The sequence below is a fragment of the Homo sapiens genome, chromosome 9 (assembly GCF_000001405.40).
Source record: "Homo sapiens chromosome 9, GRCh38.p14 Primary Assembly".
In the NCBI taxonomy this organism is placed as follows: Eukaryota; Metazoa; Chordata; class Mammalia; order Primates; family Hominidae; genus Homo; species Homo sapiens.
This window is the reverse complement of record NC_000009.12, coordinates 101,329,565-101,343,335: the sequence shown is the minus strand read 5'-3', so window position 1 is coordinate 101,343,335 and position 13,771 is coordinate 101,329,565. Positions and strand designations below refer to the sequence as shown.

Genomic DNA, 13,771 nt, shown 5'->3' with positions numbered 1-13,771 from the left:
ATTGAAAGATCTCTTTTTGGGACTAGGGGCCTCAAAATTTGGAGATTTCTGTACCTTGACATTAGTAGCCTTCACTAATATAGAGTAGCAGAGACAACACAGAGAGGTGGTGAGTGATGTGGGATACCAGACCTTCATATAACAGGGTGAGATTGATTCCATCACATAGTCTAGGGGCATAGCCAGCCTGGTTTTAGGAAGGAGTTTGATGCTGGGATTTTCTCTGTTGGTAGACTCTCATATATGACCAAAAGGAAACCCCAGACTGTTGGGATATCCTAGAGGAATTTCTCACTCAGTAGAACTTTTTAGAAAAAGTAAAAGTCATATGCTTTCCCAAAGTTTGAATCATAGTCTGTTGGCCAGTAAAAAAAAAGCATGCAACTAAGTCAGGAAACTTGGCACCTTTTCTCTCTTGACCATGATATGACCTTACAGAAGTCAATCATCCCGAGTTTGTGAAATGCAAAGTTGAACTAGTTGACTCTTTGATTGCAAGTAATAGTTATCAACTCAAGCTAATGTAAACAAAGGGATTCTATTATAAGGATGCCAGAGTGTCTCAAAGAACTCAAGTACAGTTGACCTTCAGGAGTGGTTGGAACCAGGAATTTGAAATCTAGTAAGATTACTTTCTCTGCCTTTCATCTTTATATCTACTTTATTCATTCATAACTTCTCTCTCCCCCTCTCTCCTTCCCCCTCTCCTGGTCCCCATCTCCCCCTCCCCCTCCCCCTGCCCCTCCCCATCTCCCCCTCCTCCTCCCCATCTCTCCCTCCCATTCCCCTTCCCCCTCCCCCTCCCACTCTCCCCCCCATCTCCCCCTCCCCCTCTCCCTGTCCCCGTCTCCCCCGTTCCCCCCCTCTCCCCGTCCCCTTCCTCTTCCCCCTCCCCTTCCCTCTTCCCCTCCCCATCTCTCCCTCCCCCTCCCCTTCCCCCCCTTCCCCTCCTCTCCCTCTCCCCCTCCCCTCAAACTCCCACATCTTTTCCCTAAGACTGATTTTCTGGGATTATCTGGATACAGCTTCAGCTTCTGAATTTTATGGATTCAATTACATGTGAGTCCAGGGCCAGGGTAAGGAAAGAGAGGTTCAAGGGTGCAAAATATCAGGAAGACCTTAGAGGCTTGGTCTCTCAGTGACATGAAAGTAAACTTTGGTCCTCTAGGTGCCTCTCTTGCCTCACCTTAGTCTTGACCCTGAGAGAGTGACTATTGATCTCTGGGTCTCAATTCTAAGCTAACAAGGTGAAAACATCATTGCCACATCTTGAATCTGAAATTCAGCTCTAATCCAATCAGCAATGGCACCAGGGCTGATGCCACAAGGTACATACATAGCTCTTGAGTGATCATAGCTCTGGGCTTTAGGAGACTATTCTCAGATAAAAAGGAACTACAAGTTGGGAAGAAAGCCTCAAATCTTCAATCACACATGTACTATATAATATTTATTTCCATTACATTTTTGGTGCTAATTTATTCTGCCCCTTATAAACCTTATAACTCCTAAACATGTACATTGTATAATTTATTATATCAATGTTGAAAGGATCCCTAAAGTTTTCATACACAGTTACTACCCTTGAGAGGCTCATTTGGGAGGATAAAACTAGATACAGGATGCATGCTGAAGAGTGGTTATAGTAAGCAATTAAAATAATTAACTATAAAAATAAAAGCTGTATTGGGCTAATGCATTGTACAGAAGTTTAGAGAAGGAGAATAATAGCAAGGAGAGGAAGAATCAATGATGTCTTCTTAAAGATATCTTTTTGGGGGACAAAGAGGACAGCAGATACAGAGGCTTACAGGAAGGAATCATATCAGAAAATATTAATACCTAGAGAACATTGAAATGTTGCAGGGGACACCAGACACTCTTTTTAATATTACATGTCCCATCTCCCTAACATGAATGAAAGACTCATGAAGTTGGAAATGATGCCACATTCCGTCAAGAACTTTCCCAATATTGAGAAAATATATTCATAATCATTCTATTTATTCAAAATTAATGTATTGACCATGAATTTAAGTGTGTGTAAAATGGCCAGTAGTGCTGTTTGTTAATGAGTTTATCAGGTGGGAGTGTGTACTTTGCAGAAAATCACTTTTTAAAAGTAAATGCAAAAAGACGTTTTCCCCTTGATCCTCTTCTACCTCTGATGACTAATCTCTTATCTACAGTAGAGAATTGGGCATTGCTGTAGTTGGGATGTTTGACCCCTCCAAATCTCACGTTGAATTTGATCCCTACTCTTGGAGGTGAGGCCTCTTGGGAGGTATTTGGGTCATGGGGGCAAATCTCTCCTGAATGTTTTGTTGAGGTCCTTGTGGTAATGAGTGCATTCTCCCACTCTTAGTTCCTCTGAGAGCTGGTTGTTAGCAAGAGCCTGGCATCTTCCTGCCCTCTTTCTCTTGCTTCCTCTCCTCTCATGTGATGGCTGTACATGACGGCTCCCCTTCTCCTTCTACCATGAGTGGAAGCCGCCTGAAGCCCACATCAAGAGCAGATGCTGGAGCCATGCTTCTTGTACAGCCTGCAGAATCATAAGCCCCAAGTAAACCTCTTTTCTTTATAAATTACCCAGCCTCAAGTATTCCCTGATAGCATACACAACAAACTAAGACAGGCATCAATTGCTCTTTTCCTCCACCTGCACTACTGGAGCCTATTTATTTCCACAGAAGTTTTTCTGCACCCAAATACAAACCCCAAAGCCTTTATTTTGAATTATCCCCTAAATAAAATTAAGGACCCCTTGGAGAGTCAAGCTTTTAGGGGGACACCTATTACTGCTATTTCTGTGAAGATATTGTTGAAAAATGGTTCAGATGTATATGCCAAAGTCTCATGTGAGAAATATCTTTTAGAGCTAAAGATCTTTTTGGGAAGGGCCTCACTTTTTCCTTTCCCCTAAGGAACTGATAATTTTTTCTTTGAGAATAGTTAGAACAACATAACTGACCAGGCAGCCCTTTTTCCTTTGGCTATCAGTAGATTGGCACCAAACTTACAACCCACAAAATGCCCTTCTTTTCATGTTCCAGGTTTTCTGTGATAAATACTTGTAATCCTAGTCCATATTTTCCCAAATCTTATTTTATTTAATTTTACTCTTTAACTGTTTTACTCTTTGTCAGTAAACAGATTCAAATCTTTTGTGGAATGGGGTACGGAGGAAAAAAGAAAGGAAGGAAGGGAGGGAGGGAAGAAGACCCCATTTTCCTTATAATGGAGCAGGGTACAAAGTGGCCAATCAAATGTATATGGTAGTCTCTTTACTACAAACAACATTGGCATTCATAACTCTATTAGAAAAGCATAATAGCAAAGACAAGAGCATGAAGTTTTATTTTCCCTTAAAAAGAACAAACAATGGAAAATCTGCAAAGAGCTAGAGGTCTAACAATGGCAGGTAGGGATGACAGACTAAAAGGAAAATAACAACGACAATAACAGAGAGTGTGTTTATGTAAGTCTGTGCCCATAGCCATACCCAACAGGTGTGGGGGCTGAAAAGCAGTGTTGTTTCAGAGCCCTTTGTCATGTATTATCCCCCTTGGCTCCTAATACCTTACAAAGATAGGTCATACGGGTATTATTTCAGCTGAAGAATTAAACCTTAATGTACTGAAAACCACGAAACTAAGATTTACTAGTGTTATAATGGATAAGACAGAAGGCTGTGGTGTCAGATATAGCTTGAATTCCCACTTCTACTATCAACTACTTGTGAGACTTGGAGCATGCCATATAACCCGTTTCCTCATCTGTAAAATGAGAACAATGAGTACTTTCTGCATGTCTCTCTCTCCCTCCTCCAAAAGTTCTGCACATTTTTCACTAAGTTCCCAGAAGTTTAATTTGGTCAGACCTAATATAAACCTTGCCTTGACCTTTTCTTGGAATTTAAATCTCCAACTTAAAGTCTTCTCTCCCACTACAGAGGGTGAAGCACCACTTGGTCCCTTGCCAGTTGCCAATGTTCCAGCTGTCAGCCACCCCAGCAAGTGCCCTTGCAGATGATCCAGTGCATATCCAAGGGACAGGCCTGCCCCCATCCCAGGTGATAACTCTGAAGGCCTCGCTGAAGGACGAGAAGAGGAATCTATTCTGATCCATGGCCTTCTACAGGGCTAATGAGGCTGGTGAGGTGGACCTGGAGCAGGCTCCGGCATTTGGAGGTGACTACATGGGGGTACATCCAATGGGCCTCTTTTGGTCTCTGAAGCCTGAGAGGCCTTTCCGGAGGCTGCTCAAGCAGGATGTGATGAACAGCCCCTTTTGGGTCAGTCTGGACCTATATGACTCCATTTGTTTTCAAGATTCAGCCACTGTTCAGCCCAAGGCCAGCCAGACCGTGCAGCACTGGTTCTCAGGCCCTGGGGTGCAGAGGCAGCAGATCCAAGAAGGTCCAGTGCAAGGAGCCCTTTTTCTCCCTCCAGGTGAAACTAATCTTTTGTGATACAGAAACCACTGTTAATGTGTATTAGTTCATTTTCATGCTGCTGATAAAGGCATACCCGAAAGCGGGAACAAAAAGAGATTTAATTGGACTTATAGTTCCACATGGCTAGGGAGGTCTCATAATCATGGCGGAGGGTGAAAGGCACTTCTTACATGGCAGCAACAAGACAGAATGAGGAAGAAGCAAAAGCAGAAACCCCTGATAAAACCATCAGATCTCGTGAGACTTACTATCATGAGAATAGCACCGGAAAGATCAGCTGCTATGACTCAATTACCTTGCCCTGGGTCCCTCCCAATCGTATCTCCCAGAATTCCTTCTTTGACTCTGGGAATTCTGGGAGATACGATTCAAGTTGAGGTTTCGCTGGGGACACAGCCAAACCATATCATAATGGAAATAAAAACAATAACAAATTGTATCAAATTATTAGAGAACCCGTATTTCCCATAAAGTTTTTTTTTTTTTTTGAGATGGAATCTCGCTCTATCGCCCAGGCTGGAGTGCAGTGGCGCGATCTCAGCTCACTGCAAGCTCCGCCTCCCGGGCTCACGCCATTCTCCTGCCTCAGCCTCTCTAGTAGCTGGGACTACAGGCACCCGCCACGACGCCCGGCTAATTTTTTGTATTTTTTAGTAGAGACGGGGTTTCACCGTGTTAGCCAGGATGGTCTCGATCTCCTGACCTTGTGATCCGCCCGCCTTGGCCTCCCAAAGTGCTGGGATGATAGGCGTGAGCCACCGCCCCTGGCCTCCCATAAAGTTTTAAAACTAATGTGCCAGTGTGTGTGTGTGTGTGTGTGTGTGTGTGTGTGTAATTTTGCTCACCTTGCATTTTCACGGCTATTTGACCTTTTTTTCGCTCTTTCTGATCCCATTCTCTTCTCTCTTTGCACTCGCAGGGGAAGGCCCTTTCCCAGGAGTCATTGATTTGTTTGGGGGCATTGGGAGCCTAGTAGAATTTCGGGCCAGTCTTTTGGCTTCCCATGGTTTTGCAGTGCTGGCATTAGCATATTTTGCCTACAAAGACTTGCCTGACAAACTGCAGGAGGTGGACTTGGAATATTTTGAGGAAGCTGCCAACTTGCTACTAGCTCATCCCAAGGTATTTAAAATACTTTCCATTTTACCTTGGACAACTACAAAAAAACAAAATCACCAGTGTCTGCTCTGTTTTACCAATTTGCACAGACTTGGACACAGCAGAGCTGACAGTTAAATGGGGATGGTAATAACTGCCTTGAAAGATTGTTGAGTTGATTTGTGATCAGTTTTGTGCTTATTGGCACATAGAAGACAATAAATAAATGGTGGACATAATGTGATTATTTTTTAGTGGAAAAAAACCAAGATGCCTTTCATTTGAAGTGTTTGTAACTTATTCATAAGGGTCTCTTCAATGCTTTACTGTCACTCACCTCAAATCAGGAATTCTCTGATTTGACATGTTTTGAAACTTCAGTGATTATCTCTGCAGGGGGATAATGCTGTAGTAAGTCACACTGAAGAGTCCTGAAACTAAGATCAGGACAAAGATACAAGATCAGGTCGGGAGTATCGGCAAAACTGACTTGACTGCATTACCTGACTAGCTGAATTAGCTTTTTAGTTAGTTTCAGAGCTAGGGGCCAAGTGAAGCATAGAGTAAGTGTCCAATGCCAAGAGCCAGGCTAGAGAAAGGAATCTGAAAAGGAAGGGTCATTTTAGCACTCTTTGTCAAGTGTGTCCTTCTACTATTGAAAATGTAGTTCATGGACCAGTGGCCACAGCATCACCTGGAAGCCTTCAGAAATGCAGCATCTCATTTTCCATCCCTGAAACAGCAAACTGCATATTAACAAGATCCTCAGGTGATTCTTATGCACATTAATGATTGAGAAGGACTGGAATAGTAACATTAACCTAGCTTCTTCTAAGAGGTAAATATTAGTTGAACTAGGATCTATTCTCTTGAGGAGTTCCAAAGTACTGATATTTGTGCTAATGATTAAAAATAGAGGCCGGGCGCGGTGGCTCATGCCTGTAATCCCAGCACTTTGGGAGGCTGAGGTGGGCTGATCACAAGTTCAGGAGTTCGAGACCAGCCTGGCCAATATGGTGAAACCTTGTCTCTACTAAAAATACAAAAATTAGCCAGGCGTGGTGGCAGACGCCTGTAGTCCCAGCTACTCCGGAGGCTGAGGCAGGAGAATTGCTTGAACCCGGGAGGCAGAGGTTGCAGTGAGCCGAGATCGGGCCACCGCACTCCAGCCTGGGAGACAGAGCGAGACTCTGTCTCCAAAAAAAAAAAAAAGAAACCCAGAAATAGATATCACAATATCAAGTATCAGGGTTGGTATTCTACTAAGTTTAACTTACTGTTTTGCAGATCAAAATGTTCAAATGTCAGCCATTTCTTGTGGATCAACTTAATACTGGTAAAACAATACTGGCTTACATTTGATGAGTGATATTTGTTAGACTCTATGATAAACATTTTATATGAAGTCTCATGTAACATTCACAATAGCCTTATGAAGTACTATCAACAGCAACCTCATTTTTCAGATGAGAAAGCATATTTAAAGTAATGTGTCAAAACTACATAGGCAGTAAGTGACAGATACAATCTGATAAGGTCCTTGCTCCAAACCATTAAATTATCTTTGACTTCCTCAAATGTTTTATTCTTTTCCACCCCAACCCTGGAGAGCCTTGACTCTTCTCAAGGAGAGAGAGGATATGTTTCCTATTGGGACATTATCAACATCTTCATCTTTAGTGTTGAGAAAACATGTGTAATTTTTCTAAGCTTATTTGGGTCTTTTTAAAAGATTGCCTAAAAAGAATTAAATCCCAACTAAAATGTTTTCAAATTATTTTTTTTCCATTTCAGATTTAACTATTTGTGAAATTAATCTGAGGAAGAAAAGTCAACTGCAGATATTCAACTTAGATTTAGATTCAGGGGATAAGCTTCAATTTCCACCTTTGCCCCTTGATAATGTTGTGGCCTTAAGCAAATCTTTTAAGTTTCCTGAATCCAGTTTGGCTATTGGAAAGACCAGCTGAGATAATGTGTGTATAGCAGCTAGCATAGAGTAAACTCTGAAAAAAACCACTTTGTTATCTTTGCCCATCTATTTTCTTCCCTCTCTCCCCAAGTCTTCAACCAGTCACAAGTGTTTTAGGTTCTACTCCTGTCTTTCTCAAGGAGGACCTTCTTCGTCCTCCTTGAGATTGTTTTAGCCTACTAGTCAATTTCTGACTTCCAGTTACAGCCATCCTCCTTCACTCCCTTATTCATTAATCACACAGATGTTTCCCAATTTCCTTGGGGGACATTTTACAGTATCAGATTCTTGGGCCCACTCATACCTATGGGAACAGACACTTGAAAAATTGAGTCTCAGGAAGCTCAAATTAAAAAAAAAATCAGATGATTCTGATGACAGGAAGTGCTAGGGGCACAACTGTGAGCAAAATAAACAAACTAGGTCTTTATGTACCTGTCGTTGTCTGTCCAGAGTGCCCTTCCTTTCCCCCCTCATCTTTCAGACCTTTCATGTCCCCTCAGCTCCCTCAGTCTACCAGAGAACGAATGATCCTCCTCTATGAGCTACTACCTTTTCCTATTGGTACTACAATTCAATTATTTACTGAATCCAAGCCTTTTGTCTTCATACTCTCATTGCTTTCAGGATTAGCTGTTGAATTTATGGAGGTAATATATGGGCAAAACCTTTGTAGCTATAAAATGCTATTTAAATGTGAATTCCACTTACATAATATTTGAGAGAACCTGAAAAACACCCTTTTTTTCTGGCTAGAGACAAGAATTTTATTCTTCAGAAAGCTTACCTGGCTCTATTCTTGTAATGCCAAGCATCACTGGTGGGTTAGACTCTTTTTGCCCTTACAAAACTCTACTATTGATGAAGAGTGTTTATTTCTATTGTTTCACTTGATCCTCATAACAGCCTTGCAAGGTCGGTATCATCCCTACAAGACAATAAAGGTTAGTGAGAGTTAAGTGGGTAACATTCTCAGTCCCAGGAGCTGGTAAATCTGAGTGCCAAGACTCGACCTTCTTTGACTCTTTCCATCATACTTATTTATTGGCATGCCCGGGACAGCTCTTTCTCAGCTTGTGACCTGTAGCAGATTCCCTTTGTTTTGTGCTTCAGATCCAAAGGCCAGGAATTGGAGTGATCTCCGTGTGCAAAGGTGCCGAGATTGGCTTGGCTATGGCCTGCTACCTGAAGCAGGTGGTGGCCACCGTCTGCATTAACGGGCCCAACGCCAGCTTTGAAGTTCCACTCAGATACGGGGATCTGATTGTGACACCCATCAGCTCAGCTCAGCTCAGCTCAGGAGCGCCTGCAGGTCCACGTCTCTGGAGCTGTGCTCCTCTGCCACTGTAAGGGAGACTCCCCGAGATGGGCTCCATCAGCAGAGTGTGCTTCCTGTTGAAAAGGCTAGGGGTTGGATTCTTTTCATTGCTGGGGAGAGTGACGAATGCCTGGATAGCAAAGCGTACGCTGAGCAGGCCGTGGACCAGCTGCAGAGCCATGGCAGAAGCAGCGGGAGGATGCTGGTGCACCTCGGGGCAGGCCACCTCCTAGAACCGCCCTATGCTCCCTTGTGCTTCGCGTGCTGGAACCCGGGCATTTCCAGGCCTTTGCTCTGGGGAGGAGACGCTGCTGCTCATGCGGCAGCCCAGGAGCACGCCTTGGGGGAGATCCAGAAATTCTTCAGGCAACACCTCATTAAGACCAGAAGCAAACTCTGAGCAAAAGCTGAGTGATGATGGGGTGGACAGAGGCTGGAGTGCGGGTGGGAGGATAACGAGGATAAGGCAAGAGCACAGTGGGGAGAGGGGGCTCTCCTAGTTTGGCTGGATTCACAGTCATCTTGAATCAACTGGAAGGTGGTCAGACAAAAATCAAAGGACCGGGCACACATTCATGGGAAGTATTTCTCATAAATTGGTACGTGTTTCAAATTTTTGTAAATTGAATCCTAGTTTATACGAACTAAGGCACATTATTATTTCAAAATGGTGATACCCTTGCAAATTTTTTTATTGTTTGTTTTTGTTGTTGAGACAGAGGCACGTTCATTCACCCAGGCTGGAGTGCAGTGCCAGGATCATGGCTTACTGTAGCCTCAGACTGCCAGGCTTAAGCTATCCTCCCACCTCAGCCTACTGAGTCACCGGGATTACAGGTGTGTATCACCAAGCCCAGCTAATTTTTTTTGGAGAGACAGGATCTGGTTAGGCTGGCCTCAAGTAATCTTCTTGCCTCTGCCTCCCAAAGTTCTGAGATTAAAGGCATAAGCCACTACACCTGGCCCCTTGCAAACTGAATAATCTTCTATACCCCAGTTAGCAATACCCTGGGCCCAGGCATTGCCAATCTAGATAAATTCCCTAGAAACTCCAAGTTACTGACAGAAATACATTTTCTGTTTAAACGATTTTGAATTGCGTTTCTGACACTTGATATGAAAAGTTCTAAAACCACCATTAAGTATAATGCTTGCTATAGATTTCCAGTAGAGTCTTACTTTTTTTAGAATAGTGATGCTTCTATTTATTCCTAAAATATATATTTACCATTTTAATAAAATTGAATTTTATCAAATGCCTTTGTGGCATTTATTAATTAAATGAGTTAATATTTTTTAAAGCTGTTAGAACAGTGCCTGGCACACAGCAATTACTATTCTAGAGTTAGCCATTATTATTTTCATAAAGCTGTCCTTCTCCAGTCTGTTAGTGAGGTGAATTTCATTCATTAATGGACTAATTTTTCTTATGTATCTAATTTTAATAAATTAATTTCTCATATTGATTAATGTGGGTTTTAAAATTTGTTTTAGAGCCAATCTGGACATTTACATTTTTTCAGAATTGCACCCATGTTTTCTAGAACACATTTTTCTCTTACAATTTTTGATATGGCCCCTATTGTTTATATGCATGTTTTCTTTTTCTTCTCAGCCTGATTTGCCAAATATTTCTCTTTTATTTATCTTTTCCAGGGACAGTTTTTGGTTTATTTTTTGGTCAAATTGTTTTTTACTGATTCATTGATTTCTGATTTTTAGAAATAAATTATTTTCTGCTGCCGCTTTTGTATTTTCCTGGCTTTGTGATATGCAGTGCTCTCATTTCATTAATTTCTAAGAAAGTTCTGATTTACTTTTTGTTCTGTTTAAACCCAAGAGTGATTTTGCAAAAGTACAAAGTGTTATCCTGTAAATAATTTGCCATTACTAGGAGGAGGGGAGGAATGTCACTTTGCAATGAAGGAATCAGATTATTACCACCTGAACTCACTGCTTAAGTTTAGCATCTGTAAAAGGGGTCAGTGACATATGCTTCATGATGGGATGTAATGTGGAGGACCCAGCACTGCTTAGAACTACTCCTAATGACAGTTTCAGGAGTAGTGAAACTAATCCTAGGAGTAGGCTTGAAACTAATCAAGCCTTTAACAATTAATTAATAATTACTATGGTATCTGGAGAACAAGGTAAATGGCCCTACAAGTTAACAAATCCAGAGTATGGGTCATTCTACGGGACAACTGCCTTGTTTCTTCAACAAGTTAATTACGTGAAAAAAAGAAAGGCTAGAGTGGGCTGGGGCAATTAACTTCAGAACTAAAAGAGACTTGAGACATATCAACAAAATGTGATGTGTGGCCCTGGTTTGAATAAAGTAACTGTAAAAAGACATTTTGGGGATAATTCGAGAAATTTGAATATGGACTGGATATTAAATGATACTAAGGAATTGTTATTATCTTGTTAGGTGTAATAATACCATTGTGGTTATGTAAAAAAGTCACTATTTAGAGATGCGTTCTGACATATTTAGCATAATAGAGTCGTGACATCTGGTAATTTAAAATACTATGGAAATATGGCAAAATGTGAATAATTATTAAGTTTAGATGATGGGTGTAGTCAAGTTTGTTATATTATCTCTCTATTTTTATGTTTGCCCACAATTTTTCATAATAAAAAGTTAAAAAAAGAGATATATTCAAGATATTTACCTTTCTGTCCCCAAAGACAAGAATGTTAGTATGTACTACATCTTTTTCTCCCATGGAATTCCCCCATTAATTTCAGATTATTTTTAACAATAATAACTATGCTTTAATAATTTCCTTGCTCTTTCTTTTTATATGTACAGCAATAACTTTGGCATCCTTGCTCTGTCTTACAATTCATTTTTAAGAAATTCTTGGCTTTACTTTTATTTTGCCATTTGTTCAAAGTACAAGCTCACATAATTCCTTGAAAGATTCATATTCATTTGAATCTTAGTACATCTGAAAATGTCTATCTTTTGCTCTGACATGTTAATGATAATTTTTATAGTGAAAGAATTTGATATTAACAATTATTTTCCTTCAGCACTTTGGGGTTTTTTTCGGTGACAATTTTTGCCAATGAGAAGTCTGATTCTCCTTACTTTGTGGGATTTTTTCTCTCTCTCTCTGGAAGATTTTTACAATTTTCTCTTTGTTCTGAGATTTCATCAAGATATGACTAGGGTTAGGTTTATTAGTACTCTTTAAATTTATCTTGACTGGCACTATATGGCCTATTTCAAACTAAAAACTTGTTTCTATGTTATAGTTTGAATGTATGGTGTCCCTCCCAATTTCAGGTGTTGAAACTTAATGTTCAACACTTAATGTAATGTAATATACATCAAGTTCCAACACCTGAAAATGGGAGGGTTGCCATACAATGTAATAGTATTAACAGCTGAGGCCTTTTAGAAGCGATTAGGCCATGAGGCTTCCTCCCTCGTGGATGAGGTTAGGGTTCTTATAAAAAGAGGCTTCATGGAGCGTTTGGTCTTTTTGCTTTCTGCCACATAAAGACACGGTGTTCCTTCCCTTGAGGATTCAGCAACAAGGCACCATCTTGGAAACAGAGCAGTCCTCACCAGACAACTGAACCTGCTGGCACCTTGATTTTGGACTCCCAGCTTCTAGAACTGTGAGAAATACTTTTCTCTGTTTTATTAAGCACCCAGTCACATGTATTCTGTTATAGCAGCACAAACGAACTAAGACAATCTGCCTTCAGCTTTAGGACATTTGCTTCTGTTAATTATCTGACCACTTCACCTTTTCCATTTTTTCTGTTCCTTCCTTGGAACTCCTATTAAGAGGATTTTGGAGCTTCTGGATTCATTCTCCGTGAATATTAAAATTTTCTCTTACTTTTCTCTCTACTTTCTCCTCCTGCATCCTTGGAGAATTTTACAGTTTAACTGTTCAACCTACTAACTTGTTTTTAAGGTGTGTCTAATCTATTTAGCTAATCTCTTGGGTTTTATTTTGATCATTTTTAATTTTCATGTTCTATAATTGGATCTGATTCTTAAAATGTGTTCTTGTTTTATAGATATGTCATCCTTTCTTATTCCTCCTTTTACCCATGGCTTTCATGAATACATCCAGGTTCTATTGTGGGTGTTGCCATTATATTTAAAAAACAAAATGAACTGGAGTTCCCTCATTGGGATCAGCACCACCCAGGTCTTACTTTTCAGGGATCTGATTTCAGCATAATGAAATGTGGTTTTTTTTTTTCAGCTTTCTTCTTTGCAAGGTTCTGCTGGAATCTTGGCTCCCGGGTCTGCCTTCTAGGCTTGACTTAATTTTGCCAAATGTACAGAAATTAGTTTTCAAGGTTGTCACACTTAAATCCCTCAAATGATGAATTAATTCCACAAGTGGTGACTGGTTAGTTATCCCTAGGTATGGACCTCATTGGGCCCAGGCCCTGAACCAGAGAAACCTTCACCAGACAATGGGCTGCTGTGGTGGAGCTGCACCTGCTCACCCGCACACTTAAACCCCATGGCTGCTGAAGAGCAAAAAATGCCAAGATGAGAAAACACCTGACTGCACCATCCCTACAAAGACAGAAAGAAACTTTTGGCCGCCAAGAGGGGGAATAAAAAGGGGACATATTTTGTATAGAAATACATATAAGAAGTCTGTGTGACTTTAGTGAGTCTGGATTTATCCAATCCTGAAATACTAAAAAACATCGCTTGAAGTTGAAAAAAACTTTTGGCCTTATAGGACAATTCAACAGAGAAATTACTTTGTATAACAGCATTAAACATCATCCCAAAGGAAGAGTTGTTCTCTGTTCCAAAGAACATGAAGTAAATTGATAGATGGATATTCCATTAAGATTAATAGGGAAATGTAAGCACATCTTCCTTTTAAAGAGAAAGAGAATGCTTTTGAGGAAAAGAGCTTTACCCTCAGCC

General features: G+C 40.8%; 1 long non-coding RNA gene and 1 pseudogene across 1 annotated transcript, besides 1 other annotated feature; both read left to right on the top strand.

Annotated features, from left to right (window-relative positions):
• ACNATP (acyl-CoA:amino acid N-acyltransferase, pseudogene) lies at window positions 3,989-9,244 on the top strand (annotated as a pseudogene).
• Window positions 9,092-9,593: an enhancer, noted in NCBI's record as "H3K4me1 hESC enhancer chr9:104096025-104096526 (GRCh37/hg19 assembly coordinates)". NCBI's record gives its function as "activates a minimal SCP1, AML or CMV promoter by ChIP-STARR-seq in primed H9 embryonic stem cells {active_cell/tissue: H9 hESC(primed)}" and the evidence as "EXISTENCE:reporter gene assay evidence [ECO:0000049][PMID:30033119]".
• LOC124902238 (uncharacterized) lies at window positions 9,640-13,634 on the top strand. Its single transcript, XR_007061704.1, has 2 exons — window positions 9,640-9,681; window positions 12,362-13,634. It is a non-coding gene; the product is annotated as an uncharacterized LOC124902238 (long non-coding RNA).
• Window positions 13,635-13,771: the final 137 nt, after the last annotated feature.